This window comes from Homo sapiens, chromosome 17, assembly GCF_000001405.40.
Source record: "Homo sapiens chromosome 17, GRCh38.p14 Primary Assembly".
Lineage (NCBI taxonomy): Eukaryota > Metazoa > Chordata > Mammalia > Primates > Hominidae > Homo > Homo sapiens.
Genome location: NC_000017.11, coordinates 82,103,100 through 82,120,035, shown reverse-complemented (window position 1 = coordinate 82,120,035; position 16,936 = coordinate 82,103,100). Strand labels below are relative to the sequence as shown.

Below are 16,936 nucleotides of genomic sequence, written 5' to 3'. Positions count from 1 at the left end.
GACCTGGGATAGGCCCCGAACCACCCTCCTGCTCATGTCCTCAGCCCTGCTTTGCCAACCTATCCAGACCCAGCAGTCACCCCGTCCCAGGGCACGGCCAACCTCTGAGGCTGGAACAGCTGGCTGGAGTCGGGGCTCCCCCATACACCCTGGATGCGGCTCTTTGGAGGACCCACCTCCAAGCCTAGCCTCCTCTCTCACCTGCGTTTTTATGACAGCCTCAGATAGATAGGTCTCCCACACAGACTGCTGGGGCCCAGCACGTCCAGCCTCATCTCCCTCCCTTCTTCCCCCAGCTACCTGCACTCCAGCTCCAGCCTGTCTGCACCTGTGGGTGCCCCCCAACCCCTGTGCACCTGTGGGTACCCCACCTGCAGACCTTGCAGCACCTGCAGGCACCCTCCTTGTTTGCCCAGCACCTGCCTCCTCCAAAGGCTGCCCAAGAGACCTGTCCCCCATCCAGCTTCCTTCCTTCCTGCACCAGCCCCAGGCCATGCCATTTTTCTTCCTAAACTTGATTCTATCGGTCTGCTTCAGAATGTCTCGGAGGGCAGGGGCATGGTCTGCAGGTGGGGTACCCGTAGGTGCACAGGGGTGGGGGGGCACCCACAGGTGCAGGGGCATGATCCTTGATTCCTGTCTGCTCCACGTACAGGGAGATAACTGTGAGGGATGGGAGCATGGGAGGCCCCGAGTCTACAAAACCCAGGAGTCTCAGAAGATGTTAGTCTCAGATAATGCTAGAGAAACTACCAAGCATTATCCAAAAAAATGTTTGAGGCTTAAAAAAATGACACTTCCTGGATGGAAGCATTAAATATACAAAGGCAGCAGTTTTCTCCAAAGTAAAGTAATCTGTAGTGTCATTCTAATCAAAATACGACTAATTTCTCACCACCCCCACCCCCACCCCTGCCCCCACTCCCACCCCCACCCCCGCCCCCACCTCCCGCCCGCTCAGTGGAGCCTGGTAGATAAGAATGTAGTTGTTCTCCAGGAGCCAAGGAAAGAAAGAACCATTCAGCAATTGGCAGGGTGGGAACACAGCTTACTCTGATCTCCGCTTCCTCTCACGGGGACCACACACTACCAGGCATTCCAGGGCGAGGGAGGGACTCCAAGGCAAACCACGAAAATACGCAGAAGTAGAATGGAGTATTTACAAATGGCCGGAAGAGGGTTAACCTTAGATACGGGTGAAGAAATCACAGATTTCTAAGGTAGTGTTTTTACCTGAAAAATCATCAAACTGGAAAGATATTCTTCAGCAGCACAACAAAAGTCAGCGTACATAAAAAGCGCGGCAGACTGAGTGGCACCCAGTGCGGACGGAAGCTCTCCCTAAGGCAGTTCCAGAGAAGCACCCAGGCAGATGTCTGACCTCACCCCAAAGAAATACCTGCTTCTGAAGCCGACCCCCTGCAGCAGGCCTGCCTCCACCTCCCTAGAGTGCACCTTATGGGTGTGTATCAAGTGCCCAAATGTCCTTTCAGGAGCCGGTACAGGGACCAGCCACCCAACAGTCTGTCCCACGTGTGTGGGCAGCTAAGCCCCGCAAGTTCCGGAGCACCTCGCACCTCGCTGGGGCAAAGGATGTTCCAAACCCCATCTCCGGATGCGTGGGGCATCCTGCGCTAATGAATAACACATCAGGTTTCAGTCCTGCGCTAATGGATAACACCCACATCGGGTTTCAGTCCTGCGCTAATGGATAACACCACACTGGGTTTCAGTGGACTGTGTTCCTTCTCCCTCTTCTCTTACTCCCTCCCAGTCCCTACCCACCAGGCCACAACTGCCCAGTCCCCCTGCACCCCTCCAGACTCCCCAGCCACCCTCAGAACAGAAGTGGTTTTTTAAATATATGTGTATATCCTCTTTTCTTGTCAATTGCATATCGTGGGGGCAGCTTGCTTTTTTATTTATGTCTGCAGTATTTTTTATGTCAGTACACACAGAGCCGACAGATCTTTCTGGTAGTTTTGTGAGCCGCCGCATCGGCTCACCTCCCTTTGTTTTGGTGTCTGATGTTTGTGGACACTTGGACGGCCTGTCGTTTTTAGCTCTTAAGAGAGTGAACCTCCTGTGCGTGTGCCCTGCGTGCTCACAGAGGCTGCTGTTAGATCAGAAGGGAAATAGCTGGTCAAAGGTAGGGTCAGTTTGAGTTCTGAGCGCTGTTACCCAATTGCCCCCAGGACGTTGGCCCCCTGCTCCTGGTTGCAGGCGTGAGGCACCTTTCCTCACTCAGTATTGGTGGATTTAGCAAATGGTTTGTTTGTTTGTTTGTTTGTTGGCCAATCTGATAAGTCAAAACTGATACTTCATTATTGGTTTTAATTTGCCTTTTTTTTCTAGTCCATTTTATTTTATGTATGTATTTTGAGATGGAGTCTCACTCCGTCGCCCAGGCTGGAGTGTAGTGCCGCAGCCATGGCTCACTAAAGCCTCAACCTCCCAGGCTTCTCAACCTCCCGGGCTCAAGCATTCCTCCTTCCTCAGCATTCCAAGTAGCTGGGACCACAGGCACGTACCACCACACCTGGCTAATTTTTTACATTTTGTAGACAGGATCTTGCCATGTTGCCCAGGCTGGTCTCGAACTCCTGGGCTCAAACAGTCCTCCCACCTTGGCCTCCCAAAGTGCTGGATTACAGGCATGAGCACCTGGCCTAATTTGCCTGGTTGTTGTTTGAGTCAGGATCTCCCTCTGTCGCCCAGTACAGTGGTGCAATCTCAGCTCACTGCAAACTCCACCTCCTGGGCTCAAGTGATCCTCCCACCTCAGCCCCTGGAGTAGTTGGGGTTATGGCGTGCGCCACCATGCCTCGCTAATTTTTTTATTTTTTTTGTAGAGATGGGTTTTCCCCATGTTAGCCCAGGCTGGTCTCGAACTCCTGGGCTCAAGTGATCTACCTCGGCCTCCCAAAGTCCTGGGATTACAGGCGTGAGCCATCGCACCTGGCCCAATTCGCCATTTTTAAATGATGAGGTTGGTCATTTTTCCTATCAATTGGCCATCTTATATGTGGTTTATGTGTTGTCGACATTTTTGTCCTTTTCAAAGGGGACTAGGAAAGCTAGCAACAGAAAAATGGGCGTTTGTTGTGACTTCTGAAAGTCAGGGACTCGAAGGGAGACAGGAGCTTTCCGGAGAGGGCCCTGCTGTGGGGGGACCTAGACTGGAGACCAGAGGGAGGGCTGCAAGCCTGGTTTACAGATACACATAATGGGAATGGTTCTGTGTGTTTTCCTCGAGTATTTGTTGAGTGCCTACTAAGTGCCAGACACCATACCTGGTGTCTCACCTGTGCTCAGGTCTTTAGGCTAAGGCTGTACAGCTACTACCATCCCATTGTCAAATGCAGAAATGAGGCCCAACGCTACATGGCCACAGATCCCATAGCTGAGGGTCCCAAGGCCCAGCCCTTGTTCTGCACCCTGGAGTTCTGGAAGGGACTTGTCTGATTAGAGCAGGGGGAGGGCCAAGCATGTCCTGGGGTCAGAGGAGATGCTTGGCCAGAGCTTCTGAGGAATTCGGCTGTGCTGTGGGGGTGGGGAAGACTGCATAGGAGAAGTGGGTAGGGCCGCCATGTAGAGCCTCATCAAGATTGGGGCCAGGGCTCAGTGGGCCGCCCCTGGGCCGCTCCCTGGGGGTGGGATTTGGAGGCGGTCCCTGCCATGCACCCTGTGGGTGGGTCGGAGGTGAGTGATTTTGTTTTCTTCTAGGTGGAGGCCCCCCTGCCTCCCACCCTCACTCCCCACCCCACTCTCCAGCTGCAGAGGATGGTTTAGGAGCAAAAATGGTCACAACTTTAAAGGGTGTCCCATGTTAATGCTGGCTTTTTTTTTCTTTAAAAAATTTGTTCTTTTGAAATTTATATTTGTTTCTCCACAGATTTTGAGATGTTTACTTTAAAAAAAAAAAAAAAAAAAGGTTGTGGCCGGGCGCGGTGGCTCACGCCTGTAATCCCAGCACTTTGGGAGGCTGAGGCGGGTGGATCATGAGGTCAGGAGTTCAAGACCAGCCTGGCCAAGATGGTGAAACCCCATCTCTACTAAAAATAAGAAAAATTAGCCTGGCACGGTTGCAGGCACCTGTAAACCCAGCTACTCCAGAGGCTGAGGCAGGAGAATCGCTTGAACTCGGAGGGTGGAGGTTACAGTGAGTCAAGATCTTACCACTGCACTCCAGCCTGGGCGACAGAGTGAGACTCCATCTCAAAAAAAAAAAAAAAAAAAAAAAGGTTGCATAAATTTTTTGTATTTTTGAGACAGAGTCTCCCTCTGTCGCCCCGGCTGGAGTGCAGTGGTGCGATCTCAGCTCACTCCACCTCCCAGGTTCAAGTGATTCTCCTGCCTCATCCTCCTGAGTAGCTGGGACCAGAGATGTAAGCCACCATGCCCAGCTAATTTTTAAAAACTTTTTTTGTACAGACAGGGTCTTACTATGTTGCCCAATATGGTCTTGAACTCCTGGGTTCAAGCAATGCTCCCATGTCAGCCTCCCTAAGCGCTGGGATTACAGGCGTAAGCCACCATGCCTGGCCCATAAAATGTATCCTAAGGTCGCATAATTCTGTTAACTGGCTGCTAACTCGGTTAATTTTTTTAAACTGTTTGTAGAATTAGAGCATTTCTGGGCAGTTTTGTGTGTTGAAGACACCTTGTAGCCAGGCTTTTCTCATCTAAAGATCCAAAGGGAAAGAAGGACAAAAGCCGCCCCCTCTTGCCCCCTCTTGCCCCCTCTTGCCCCCTCTTGCCCCCTCTTCCCGGACAGCCCGAATGCTGGTGGAGCCTCCGCTGGAGATCACACAGGGCTCCAGTGACTGCCCTGCTCGGCCCCAGTGGTTGCCGCAGGCTGGGGCTCTTTGCTCAGATGAAGGCCAAGTCCAAAGTCACACAGCCCCAGCTGGTGGAATCAGGATCTGAATCCAAGCCCTGGATCCAGTCCAGGCCAGAGCCTCCTCTGCAGAGAAGGTACTAGGTGCCCATGCACAGGGTGACTGCCAGCCTCGTGGAGTGGGGGCAGTGGTGTCCCTGCGGGCGGGCTTGGTCTTCTGAGGCCATGTCAGTGCCACCCCAGGGCCGCCCTCCATGGCAGTGTGGGGCCAACAAGCCTGTCTTCCCATTTTTCTGAGAGAGGCTGGAAATCCTGTTCTTTTTATATATAAAGTGTTTCCTTTTCAAAATATTGGCAACTAAGTAAATCCAAACAAAGTATGGGCCAAATCATGGCACACTCCTGCCCCACAGGTGGCCCTCCAGCTAAGAGTCATGTTTACAATTTTAGAGGTTTGGTGGGCTCCAGTGGGACCACGCCTGGGGGTGGAGTGGCTGTGGGTGAGCGTGTCTCCACTCCCACACCTCGCCACTGAGAAGACAGAGCACGGGATCGTGACAGCCGAGCTCCAGCCGCCCTCCACCTAGTCACTGTGGCCCTGCAGGGGCTGCCAGCCTCTGCATTCAGGAGCCAGTGGGCGCCGAGGACACACTCCCTCCCTCCCCTGCCTGGGGTCCTGTGCTTTTGAGCTGAGACTGTTCTGGGCCTTTCCTGAAAGGATGGTAGAACGCCAGAGTGGCATTTCAGTGTGATTGGCCTCTGCAGGACCAGCTGGGCTCCCAAGACATAAAAACATGCCCTGAGCATTTGGCCTCAGCACCAGCTCATCCTCACGCCCCCGTCCCTCCCCCCTCACCCAGCCAGAAGTCCCCATGCTGCCTCTGGCCCCCACCTCCGCAGGCACTTTTGTGCTTCTTATGACACCCAGGGCTTTCGTTCATTTCGTTCAGGAGAGCAGGTCGGGATGGCCCCGCCATGGATGGGTGAGGAGCCGGCTGTGACATGTTAAGAAACGGGGACAGTGAAGAACAGTCTGTACCTCCTCTGTAAACGCGCAGGGAACGTTACAGTCCACTCTTCCATCTGTGGCGTCACTCTGTGTACTGACGAGGGAACCCCCTCAGGGCCCAGGTAACCTGCACTAGAAGGTGCACGTCAGGCTCCTGATGGCCAAGGTGAGATGGACAGCCCAACATAGCTGCAAGACCAAGCTGCAGGGCAGGCAAGGGGGCCTTGGGGCTCTTATTTATTTACTTTATTCTCGCTCTGTTGCCCAGGCCAGAGTGCAGTGGCACAATCTTGGTTCACTGTGGCCTCAACTTTCCAGGCTCAAGTGATCCTCCTGCCTTTGTCTCCTGAGTAGCTGAGACTACAGGTGCACATCACCATAGCTGGCTAATCTTTTTACATGTTATTTTATTTTTTTGTAGAAATGGGGTCTCACTATGTCACCCAGGCTGGTCTCGAACTCCTGGGCTCAAGCAGTCCTGCCGCCTTGGCCTCCCAAAGTGCTGAGATGACAGGTGTGGGCCCCACGCCCAGCCTGGCGTGGAGTGGAGCCCTTCACCCAAACATGAACCAGGAGGCGAGCTTGGTAAGGAGCACGTGGGCTCCAGGAATGCGAGGGGGAATGAATGGAGGCAGCTCCTCAGTGTGCAAAAACATGCAGCGCGGGCCTCACTGGTCACCATCACAGCAGCCTTGCAGTGGGATCAGGACAGTCCTGCTGTCCAGGAAGGAGAGGACCCTGCTCTCTTGTTTCTCACTACCTGCTCCTGTCGTTCTAGTCCCATTGCTGCTCTCAGGACAAGCTGTGACTGAGAGAGCAGGTCACGCTGGTGACATTTTATGAGGCTGGATGCACAGCCCCACAGCACCTTGTCACTGAAGCTACAGGAATCCAAGAACCAGTGCTCTGGCCAAGAAGGGAGCACTGGGGTGCCCTGAATGGCACGGACAACCCCAGCCCCCCGCCTTCACTGATTATCATGACCTGTGGCTTCTGAAAGGACAGGGCAGTCTTGGAACTTTCTGAGAAACAGATGGTCAAGTAGATGTCTGTTAGCTCTTTTCTTGAAATTGTAGTGACGAAACCATGACTGCCACTTAGGAAAGTAACTTGTGTTGAAATAACTTTTAGAACAAAGTAAATACATTAAGAAATAACCAAATCGGCTTACTTTCTGATAATATTTATTCTATGCCCACACAACGGCTGGCACTCACTTCTGCTTCTGGCCAGGCCGTAGTTACAAGGACCAGACTTTAATGTTCCTCCATGAACAACTAGAAAACTGGACAAAGTATATGAAACAACTGTTTGCAGACATTGGACAACTGGTCAAACAAGACCGAGATCCCCAACAAGACCGAGACCCTGGACGAGTCCGAGATCCCGGACAAGACCGCCACCCTTGTTGGAAGGGAGACAGGCAAGGTGAACCCTGGGGCCCTGGCCTTCTGCCTGAAGGCCGTTTCTGGGCTGCCGGCACAGGGAGGGAAGCAGGGCCTGAGCAAAGCTGAGCACCCTTACGGAGCTGAGACTGCACTAGGGTCTGGGGACACAGAAGGAGCCGGCATTTCAGGGCAGAATCCCGCAAGGAGGAAACTGCAGAAAAGAGCTCCAGAAATCTGCACAGGGTTCTCTTGAGTCTGTACTGAGGACCAGCCTGTACATGTATAGAAGAAAACTCCACAAAGCCAGGCAAAGAGGAGAAAGGAGCATGTAAGGTGAACAACTTCCAGACCTCGCACACGGTCATGACATACTGAAGCTCCAGCCAGGGGGATGGGTCCCCAGTGATCACTGTGGACATTCAGTGGAGACTCAGGAGGAGCCACACCGTGGGAACAGGGCTGATGCTGTCTGCAGTGAAGGCTCGTCTAGAACCTGCCTGAGAAACTGCAGCTACAGAAATCCAAGGCCTGGCATGGCGGCTCACGCCTGTAATCCCAGAACTTTGGGAAGCCGAGGTGGGCAGATCACCTGAGGCCAGGAGTTCACAACCAGCCTGGTCAACTTGGTAAAACCCCGTCTCTACTAAAAATACAAAAATTAGTCAGGTGTGGTGGTGCATGCCTGTAATCCCAACTACTCAGGAGGCTGAGGCATGAGAATCACTTGAACCTGGGAAGCAGAGGTTGCAGTGAGCCGAGATCGCGCCACTGCACTCTAGCCTGAGTGACAGAGCAGACTCCTGTCTCAAAAAACAAAACAAAACAAAAGAAAAAACACCACATAACCCAACTTTCACCCAAAACAAGGCCCAACACTCTTTAAAAGACAAGAAGGCGAGCACCATGGCTCACGCCTGTAATCCCAGCACTTTGGCAGGCCAAGGTAGATGGATCACTTGAGGTCAGGAGTTCACAACCAGCCTGGCCAACTTGGTAAAACCCCGTCTCTACTGAAAATACAAAAATTAGCTGGGCATGGTGGCAGGTGCCTGTAATTTCAACTACTTGGGAGGCTGAGGCACGAGAATCACTTGAACCTTGGAGCTAGAGGTTGCAGTGAGCCGAGATCGCACCACTGCACTCCAGCCTGGGTGAAAGAGCAGACTCTGTCTCAAAAAACAAAAACAAAAAACAAGAAAACATATAACCTAACTTTATTTCAAAACAAGGCCCAACATGCTTTAAAAGATAAGAAGACTGGATGTGGTGGCACATGTCTGTGGTCCCAGCTGCTTGGGAGGCTGGGGCAGGAGTATCGTTTGAGCCCGGGAGGTTGAAGCTGCAGTGAGCCACGATCACGCCACTGCGCTCCAACCTGAGCGACAGAGCAAGACAGCCTCTCAAAAAAAAAAAAAAAAAAAGGGCCCTAGGCACTTTGAGAGGCCAAGGTGGGTGGATCACGAGGGTCAGGAGATCGAGACCATCCTGGCTAACACAGTGAAACCCCGTCTCTACTAAAAAAAATACAAAAAAAATTAGCTTGGGCATGGTGGCGGGCACCTGTAGTCCCAGCTACTCGGGAGGCTGAGGCAGGAGAATGGCGTGAACCCAGGAGGCAGAGCTTGCAGTGAGCCGAGATCGCGCCACTGCACTCCAGCCTGGGCAACAGAGCAAGACTCCGTCCCAAAACAAAACAAAAACAAAAAACAAACAAACAAAGTCTGTCTTTGATTCTGTTTTTGTGCTGAGGAGATGATGAGGCTGTCTTCTGTCTATTTCTACTCCTGCACATATGCTCTTTTTTCTTTTCTTTTTTTTTTTCTTTGGCTCACCGCAACCTCCACCTCCAGGGTTCAAGCGATTCTCCTGCCTCAGCCTCCCGAGTAGCTGGGATTACAGGCATGTGCCACCATGCCCAGATAATGTTTGTATTATTAATAGAAACAGGGTTTCTCCATGTTGGTCAGGCTGGTCTCCAACTCCTGACCTCAGGTGATCCGCCCGCCTCGGCCTCCCAAAGTACTGGGATTACAGGCGCGAGCCACCGTGCCCGGCATAAATAATTCATTTTATGATTTTCTCTATAACCAAAAATTATTCAGTAGTAGGTTTTACAATTTTGAAGCAGAAGCAGGATGAGAGGTTTTGATGTTGGTTTCAAATTTTATTGTGTTACATTTGAAATGAATTGAGACTTGCTCTGTGGCCTGGTATGATGAGATTCTAGGCATGGTCTGTTTGCCGAAAGAGAAAGTGAATCATCTACCTGTAAGGTTAGACCTCCTGTGCCTCATGACTCAAGCCAACCAGTCCCCGTTGATGAATGAGTTTTTGCCAGGAGGACATGGGTTTGTTTGTTTTTGAGGAACATGGGTGAGTTAACAGCTTCATCTACTCTCAGTTACCTCTTTCCTGCAGCTCTGTCCGTCAGTACTTGACATGTTTTGAAGTTGTACCTTTTTATTTATTTTTTTCTTTTTTCTGCATCTGAAGTCTTACCTTTTAAAATACAGAGTTCTGGCCAGGTATGGCAGCTCACGCCTGTAATCTCAGCATTTTGGAGGCCGAGGAGGGTGGATCACTTGAGGTCAGGAGTTCAAGACCAGCCTGGCCAACATGGTGAAATCCCATCTCTACAAAAAATACAAAAATTATCTGGCCGTGGTGGCAGGCACCTGTAATCCCTGCTACTCGGGAGGCTGAGGCAGTAGAATTGCTTGAACCCGGGAGGTGGACATTGCAGTGAGCTGAGATCACACCATTGCACTCCAGCCTGGGTGACAGAGTGAGACTCTGTCTCAAAAAAAAAAAAAACAGACTTCTTTGCCTCTTATGACGTTTTCTGCCTAATTCTATTTTATTTTTTAATTTTTACTTTTTCTGTCTTTTTAACTGGATCTTTTATTGTTGGATCTTTTGTTTTTTTCATTTTTTATTTTTTTGAGACAGAGTCTCACTCTGTCGCCCAGGCTGGAGTGCGGTGGCGCGATCTCAGCTCACTGCAAGCTCCGCCTCCCAGGTTCACACCATTCTCCTGCCTCAGCCTCCCGAGTAAGTGGGACTACAGGTGCCCGCCACCACGCCCGGCTAATTTTTTGTATTTTTAGTAGAGACGGAGTTTCACCTTGTTAGCCAGGATGGTCTCTATCTCCTGACCTCGTGATCCACCTGCCTCAGCCTCCCAAAGTGCTGGGATCACAGGTGTGAGCCACCGCGCCTGGCCGGATCTTTATTTTTAAAAAGTTCAATCTAAGAATTCTTTTTCATTAGTCAGTTTACTCATCTATAAATATCCATTGAACTATTGTCTACTGGAACTTAATCTCCATATTATTTATTTTCCATTTGTTTCATTTTCCTACATTCTTGTTTTACATGGGAGAAATCAAGTTTTTCTCTGCTGTTTTACAAGTTACACATTCTAATTTTGTCCTGTGGTAACATCTGCCAGCTCACACCGGGCTCACAGAACCTTATGCCTCGCAGCCGCCTCGTAGGCCCCTCGCAGGCATGCGCTCCACACGCCCCGCTCTGCGCCACCCCAGCCCTGGAGTCTGAGCTCTCCTGCGGGGCGCTGGGGCCACTTGGTTTCCTGTCCATGTCTTGCTCTCTTATGGCTTCTTCTGAGCTCTTTCTCCTCCTTCCTTCAGTGACTCCCCCAACACTTTCTGTGTGGGCCTGGGATAGAACGAGGCTGCATATCCCGCCTGTTTAGGAAGCCCTGTGCTTGTATCCCTGTAGGTATTTGGAGGTTTATGTTTAACATGTTTTGATATGAAGATGTAGAAGGATTTTGTGTAGGTTTGGCCTTATCCATATTCTGTCTTCATCGGCCTCCTCGAAGAACTTCATTCTGTCCTAAAGGAAGCAGTCGCAGCTTAAAGAGTGTGAGCACGCGCCCACTCCCCACAGACACACCCGGCCTGCCCCGCCCCACGCTGCCCCTGCCCTGGAGAAAGCGAGGCTCCTTCCTTTCCTGGAGACGCCGGCCACAGTTCTTCAGTGAAACGCTTCACTCTCTGGTCATAGAGGTAGGAAACTATAGCTGTCCCAACTAAATGTCAGGACGAATTAGCCCAGCTGGTCACGCTCACAGTCACCGCCTCCACCAGAACTGATGCGGACCCCTGGGAACTGAGGTGTTTGCTCTGTGACTTGGGAAGGACAGCGGAAGGTATTTCCGTTTAGCTCTTGTGGTCAGATTTTTTTGTGAATGAAAATCTGCTGTGCGTCTTGGACACCGTCACATGCACTACCCTGTGTATTTCCCTTTAAAACTCAGAGCCAGCGATAACATGACACCAATGCAACACAAGCAAGAGAGATCCTGCCCTGAAACTCACTGTTGTTTTAGGCTTTCGGCGGACCCTGCTATAAATATGCAGATTTTATGCCCAGTCTGTGACCAGGGCCGAACCTCTTTCCTGAGGGGCTGGGGGACTCCTTCGAGGAGCAAGAACAGCCCGGCTGTCCACAGAGGAGCCCGTTTTCAGGGGTGGGATCACAGGTCAGGTGCTCTCTCAGCACAACTCCAGGACCCGGGCAAGCCATGACACTCATCTCACTAGGAGGCAGAGCGCCAGAGCGGCCGCAGGTCACTCGTCTCTGCCACTTGCTCTCCGAGTGCTCCAGAGTCAAGGACTGCGGCCTGGCCAAGGGGACAGTGGCCTGTGGCCTCTGACTCTGAGCTTGGAGAAGGCTTGCTGCTCCAACATCACGTGGACAGAGGCAAGGAGGCACGTGGGATTGGGAATGGGGATAGAGACCAGCCTGCCCCAGGAGCAGGTGGGTCCACCAGAAATGCTCATGCATTTGCTGACCAGGACTTCCATCCTGAGGTGTGTGCAGAGTGATCCAAAGCCCCCTCGTCCGTGCCGTGACTCTGGGCCCTGGAGCCCACCCCCTTTCTTTAGAAAAGCCTGTTCTGTAGGCATCTGTCCTGAGAGCACCCGATGGCACTGTAGGATGCTGAGAGCAGCTGAGGCAGGAGGGCCGGCGGCTGTTCCCTCCCAGAGTCCCATCTCAGGTGGACGCCGGTCCACGACTTCCAGCCCAAGGGCTAATGTGTCTTCTCCAGTCCACGTGGCAGGTGTTGCCAGGGGAGCGGGCAGTGCAGCTGTTGGACAGCAGGGGGTGTTTCTTCAACCCAGGCTGCCCTCCTTCTCCTGTCACAACAGGGCCCCATTCATTCTGGAACCTGCAGACCAACTCCATCCGCCCATCCTCACAGTGTGCCGAGCGCCAGGTCCAGAAGCACGCACCTACCTGGGGGCCTCTTCCTCCTTTCTGGCGGGGGTCCGCTTTGGCCCCTGATGCTAACCTCGCCCCGTGTGCCGTGCAGCTGGAGTCAAACGGAGGCGCAGAGACGCCATGGAGGGTGACAAGCCACACAGCAGGGTTCGAGGCAGCCACTCCCCACTCCCCACTCCCGCGGCATCTGTGCCCCACCCGGGTGCCAAGCCACTGTGCCATGCATCCCCCCACCCCCAACCTGCTGCAGGTGTGTGGGCCTTTGCCTCTTTTCCCAGGGGAACCAAAAACCCTGGGATCCAGAGGGTCATTGCCCAGATCTCTGGAGAGCAACTCCAGGGGCCTGGTCTCCAGGGGAGAAGAGGGAGTGGGGAGAGGCCTTTGGCCAGGCATGTGGCCCTCAGTGTCCTGAGCAGGTCGGGCAGCTGATAAGTGTGTGGCTGGCGTAGCTCCTGCAGAGCCAGGCTCCCTGGAGGAGCGTGTGGCCTCCTTCCCAGCTGTCCGCCCTCCTGCCAAGACATGCAGGGAGCAGCCCTGAGACACGGGTCTCAGGCAAAGTGAGTGGCAGGCAGTGCTGTTCCCCGGGGACATGGCGGTGACCTGCTGGTCTATGGCCCTGAGATGCTAGGGTGCCCACCTGGAGCTGTAAGCTGGCCTGGCAGACCTGGGAAGGCCCCATGGGCCCCTTTTGAAAGTTCCCTTTTCATGAATTTTACCCAGAATCTCCCCTGCACACTGGCCCCTGCTGCTTTTTGCTGTCCCCAGACAGTGCCAACAGAGACCACGAGTCGTCTAAACACCAGCCCAGGCACTCAGCACTCAGTGCAGAGTCCTGGCCCAAGGGGCATGAGGCCAGCATTCCTCACTTTAGGACCAGGAAACAGTTCCCATGCCTCCGAAACAGCGGAGACAGCTGCCACTTCCTGTCGCCCCAGCTCAGCCGCTGCCTGTCACTTTCCTTCCGGGGCCTCAGGGCGTTCTCCTGCGTTTACTCTTCTGAAAGGCAGGAGAAGGGTGGGGTGTGGAGATACCCAGAGGCTGTCCAGCTCTCAGGCCACTGCCTGGCCCTGGCTCTCACCGTCTCAGCCTCCTAGTGGCCTCCTCGGCACCCACCAGCCTGCAGCCACCTGTGCTTGGGGTTCTTGGCACCTCCCCTTCCTGTGGGCTGAGCTCAGATGGGCTCTGGTCGGGAGCCGGCCCAGGAGGAAGGCCATGCGTCTCTGGGTCTCTTCTCGCCCAAGTGAGGCCTGTGTGCCCGCCTTCCGTGATGCAGCCTCCGGTAGGGACAGACCCACGTCTCTCAAAGCCTTATGCCCACGATGTGTTTCCCTTGAATTCCCTTCCTTGGGGCTCCAGCTTGCACCCCACTACTAGGTGACTCCTCTCAAGGGCTGGGATGGGGCCCACATTGGGCAACACTGACAGGCTGTAGCAGACAGGCCTGGGCAGGCTCAGCAGCAGCAGGGGACCTGCCAGTGCCGTTGGGGGAGTAGCCACAGGCGCCCAGAGGAGGTGCTGGCATGAAACAAGGGGTCAGCCTGTGGTCGGCGCCCAGGCCCCCGAGGGCCCACCTCTCCTCTGCTCCAAAGGCCAGCAGGCGGGGCCTGAAGGATCTGGGGTTTCCTGCTGGCCCTGCCTCACCAGGCTGAGTGATGGGTGGCAGGACTGCCCAGAGCCCTGGAGCATGCAATGTCCAGTACCCTCCCCTCTTGTGCATCTGCCCAGTGGGGGCTCCAGGCTCCATGTGCCAGTGAGGTGGGGAAGGCAGCTGGACATAGCAGGCCCGGAGTGTCCCCCTGTGGAGGGACCGTGGGAACCAGATCACGTGGGCCTCCCTCCCCCTGTACCCCATTGCTCTCCTGTTGTCACACTCAGTCCCACAAAGGCAGCCCCGGGGCCACGGTGACCCCCCAGGGCTGAGCTCCAGGAGCTCAGGGGTGGGGGTGTCCATTAGGAGACTTTAGCAGGTGAGGGTTGACGCAGGCTGGGGAGACACGGGTGGGCGTGGCCTGTGAGCCTCCCAGGCGTGGGGACCCTGGAAAGGTGCACGCAGCTTCTGGAGATTCGGGGTGGGGGGAGTCAAGTCACATTCACTGTCACCGTCTGCACTAAAGGCCTGGGTGCCGTGCTGACAGTGGTGGGAAAAGCCTTGTTCCCAAGAGACTTGGAAATAACTAGATGCATTTGAGAAGGGTTGATCTTGGGTGCGTGAGGACCCCTGTGGCAGCCAGAGGGGGTTCAGCAGAACAAGGGCCCTTGACACAGCAGGGGTGAACCACACAGAGCAGCGGAGGCCACAGGGAGACGGAAGGGCCTCTGTGCCACAGAATGGACTTGAGGCCTGAGCTGCCATCAGGGCCAGGCCCTCCCCAGCCCCAAGGCAGGCTCTGGAGAACCAGGGAAGGCGTGGGCTCACCGTCTGGCCCTTCCCAAAGCCCTAGGAAGCCACGTAGGTGTGCCCAGGGGCACCCAGAGAGCCCGGAGCAGCCTGGAGAATGAGCCACCAGAGGCCAACTTGGTCAAGAGCTGAGCTGAGGCTCAGGTGCAGGAGAAGAAACTCACAGGGTGGCCAGAAAGCTGGGGACCAGCTCCGTCCTCTTTGTGCTCAGAGTTCTCATGCCCCCAGGCTGAGACGGGAGTGAGGGCCGCACCTTCCCTGCAATAGGACAGGCTATGTCCTCCCTGAGATTCCACCAGCTTCAAACCTCCAAGCCGGGCTTGGTGGCCCACACCTGTAATCCCAGCACTTTGGGAGGCCGAGGTGGGTGGATCACGAGGTCAGGAGATCGAGACCATCCTGGTTAACATGGTGAAACCCCGTCTCTATTAAAAATACAAAAAACTTAGCGGGGCGTGGTGGCGGGCGCCTGTAGTCCCATCTACTCGGGAGGCTGAGGCAGGAGAATGGCGTGAACCCGGGAGGCGGAGCTTGCAGTGAGCTGAGATCACGCCACTGCACTCCAGCCTGGGCGACAGAGTGAGACTCCGTCTCAAAAATAAAAATAAAAATTTAAAAAACCCTCCAAGTATGGTGCAGCCGCCTGAGGGGACGGAGCCCAGCCTGGGTGGCCCTGCCTCAGCACACACCAGGACCTGGGAGGGGTTAAGCCTGGGAGGGGCAAGCAGGCCCCAGTCCCCCTCCCCTGGTTAATCACTGCAAGGCCTTGGATGTTTCAGGAACTTTCCAGAAGCTCAGTTCGGGGCCAGAGCACAAGCAGCCCGTGGGGGAGGGGTGCAGGACCCAAGAGGCGCGTTCCTCACGCTGTGCCCGGCAAACTGTGTGTCCACATGGTTTCCCTGCGGCCCAGTCAGCCCAACGCAGAAAGAGAAATCCCGGCCAGGCTCGGCAAAACAGGTCAGGCGAGAAGGCGGGGCAGAGAGTGGTGGAGGCCAAGAGCGTTTTTACACACCAGTTACTGGGTTGACCTCAGATTAGCATCAGGTAGAAGAATCCGGGGTCACAGGGAGTCACGCCTGGGGCAGCCGCCTTGACACATCCAGCTCCGTGCCTCTGACCTAGGACTGGCTGGGCTGGGGCTGTCCGCTGCCCTGGGGTCCTGGGCTCATGGCCAGTTCCCTGCCACCATCACTGAGGAGGGCTCCGCAGGAAAAGGACCAGTGAAGAAACCAGAGCCTGTAAAGTGGATATTCTGAGCTAGGGGCCGGCCTGCCCTGGGGAGGGGGCCAGCTCACCCTCCCTGCCCCTCCCTGCCCCTCCCTGCCCCGGGGACTGTGACCCACTCACACCTCCCTGCTTCGCCCCGGGATACAGCCAGGGTCCTCCCAGCAGGGCCAGCTCAGGCCTCCCAGGCAAAGGGGCAGGCCCTTCACCCCCCTCCCTCAGCTCACTTTTTCTGAAAATCCCCACAGGCTTTGTCTGAGGAGGATCAAGCCGGGCAAAGCCCCCAGAATCCCTGAGCATTACAGAGGGACAACCAAGGCCTCTGGGTTTGAGGAGATGCCTCAGGGTCACAGTGGAGCACTAGGGCCTGGTCAGAGGACCAGCTTCCCCGCAGGAAGCCCTTTCCACGGGATACCCCACCCTCTGCCAGCCAGTGTGGGGGGTGGGGGGAGGGAGTGGGGATGGGGGCGTTGGCCGGGACCAGGAGGTCAGGCAGGCTTATTGTTGAGAGATAAAGGGTGGTAGCCTTTGTGTGAAGAGGAGGAATTCCTCTGGGGGTTGGAAACAAAGGGAGCAGGCAGCGTCCAGGGCCCCCCAGGACCCCAGCAGGGGGCCAGGGACTGTGTGACCCCAACGGGGCTGCAGGAAAAGGAAGACTGGTTCCGGGTGTCTTGAGACCCCAAGAGTGGATCGGAGTGGAAGAAGCTGAGATGGGAAGAGGGGCCCAGGGCCAGGGCTGGGAGTGTGTGGCTGCCCCCATGGGCACTGCGCAGCCCAGCTGAGAGTGCGTCATTGCCGGTGTCCCCAAAGCACAGACGCTTCCCAGT

At 54.7% G+C, this 16,936-nt stretch overlaps 1 protein-coding gene across 27 annotated transcripts in view, besides 8 other annotated features; it reads left to right on the top strand.

Annotated features, from left to right (window-relative positions):
* The window catches only part of CCDC57 (coiled-coil domain containing 57), a 111,373-nt gene that overhangs the window by 92,807 nt on the left and 1,630 nt on the right, over positions 1 to 16,936 (top strand). For 16 of the 27 annotated variants that reach the window (XM_047435772.1, XM_011523549.4, XM_011523548.4 and 13 more), the window contains one exon: positions 6,271 to 7,011. The exons of 10 other annotated variants lie outside the window; for them this stretch is intronic. In XM_047435772.1, coding sequence (XP_047291728.1) covers positions 6,271 to 6,692 — 422 coding nt within the window. In that variant the 3' untranslated portion in view covers positions 6,693 to 7,011. Of the gene's footprint in view, positions 1 to 6,270; positions 7,012 to 16,936 lie in introns of those variants that run through there. One more of the 27 variants, XM_017024463.3, reaches the window with a different exon arrangement.
* Positions 2,260 to 3,167: an enhancer, noted in NCBI's record as "H3K4me1 hESC enhancer chr17:80074745-80075652 (GRCh37/hg19 assembly coordinates)". NCBI's record gives its function as "activates a minimal SCP1, AML or CMV promoter by ChIP-STARR-seq in naive and primed H9 embryonic stem cells {active_cell/tissue: H9 hESC(naive and primed)}" and the evidence as "EXISTENCE:reporter gene assay evidence [ECO:0000049][PMID:30033119]".
* Positions 9,401 to 9,450: an enhancer, noted in NCBI's record as "active region_12989". NCBI's record gives its function as "activates an Ori minimal core promoter by ATAC-STARR-seq in GM12878 lymphoblastoid cells {active_cell/tissue: GM12878}" and the evidence as "EXISTENCE:reporter gene assay evidence [ECO:0000049][PMID:35858748]".
* Positions 11,602 to 12,515: an enhancer, noted in NCBI's record as "H3K4me1 hESC enhancer chr17:80065397-80066310 (GRCh37/hg19 assembly coordinates)". NCBI's record gives its function as "activates a minimal SCP1, AML or CMV promoter by ChIP-STARR-seq in naive H9 embryonic stem cells {active_cell/tissue: H9 hESC(naive)}" and the evidence as "EXISTENCE:reporter gene assay evidence [ECO:0000049][PMID:30033119]".
* Positions 13,025 to 13,414: an enhancer, noted in NCBI's record as "active region_12988". NCBI's record gives its function as "activates an Ori minimal core promoter by ATAC-STARR-seq in GM12878 lymphoblastoid cells {active_cell/tissue: GM12878}" and the evidence as "EXISTENCE:reporter gene assay evidence [ECO:0000049][PMID:35858748]".
* Positions 13,645 to 13,974: an enhancer, noted in NCBI's record as "active region_12987". NCBI's record gives its function as "activates an Ori minimal core promoter by ATAC-STARR-seq in GM12878 lymphoblastoid cells {active_cell/tissue: GM12878}" and the evidence as "EXISTENCE:reporter gene assay evidence [ECO:0000049][PMID:35858748]".
* Positions 14,015 to 14,064: an enhancer, noted in NCBI's record as "active region_12986". NCBI's record gives its function as "activates an Ori minimal core promoter by ATAC-STARR-seq in GM12878 lymphoblastoid cells {active_cell/tissue: GM12878}" and the evidence as "EXISTENCE:reporter gene assay evidence [ECO:0000049][PMID:35858748]".
* Positions 14,346 to 15,259: an enhancer, noted in NCBI's record as "H3K27ac-H3K4me1 hESC enhancer chr17:80062653-80063566 (GRCh37/hg19 assembly coordinates)". NCBI's record gives its function as "activates a minimal SCP1, AML or CMV promoter by ChIP-STARR-seq in primed H9 embryonic stem cells {active_cell/tissue: H9 hESC(primed)}" and the evidence as "EXISTENCE:reporter gene assay evidence [ECO:0000049][PMID:30033119]".
* Positions 15,260 to 16,173: an enhancer, noted in NCBI's record as "H3K27ac-H3K4me1 hESC enhancer chr17:80061739-80062652 (GRCh37/hg19 assembly coordinates)". NCBI's record gives its function as "activates a minimal SCP1, AML or CMV promoter by ChIP-STARR-seq in naive H9 embryonic stem cells {active_cell/tissue: H9 hESC(naive)}" and the evidence as "EXISTENCE:reporter gene assay evidence [ECO:0000049][PMID:30033119]".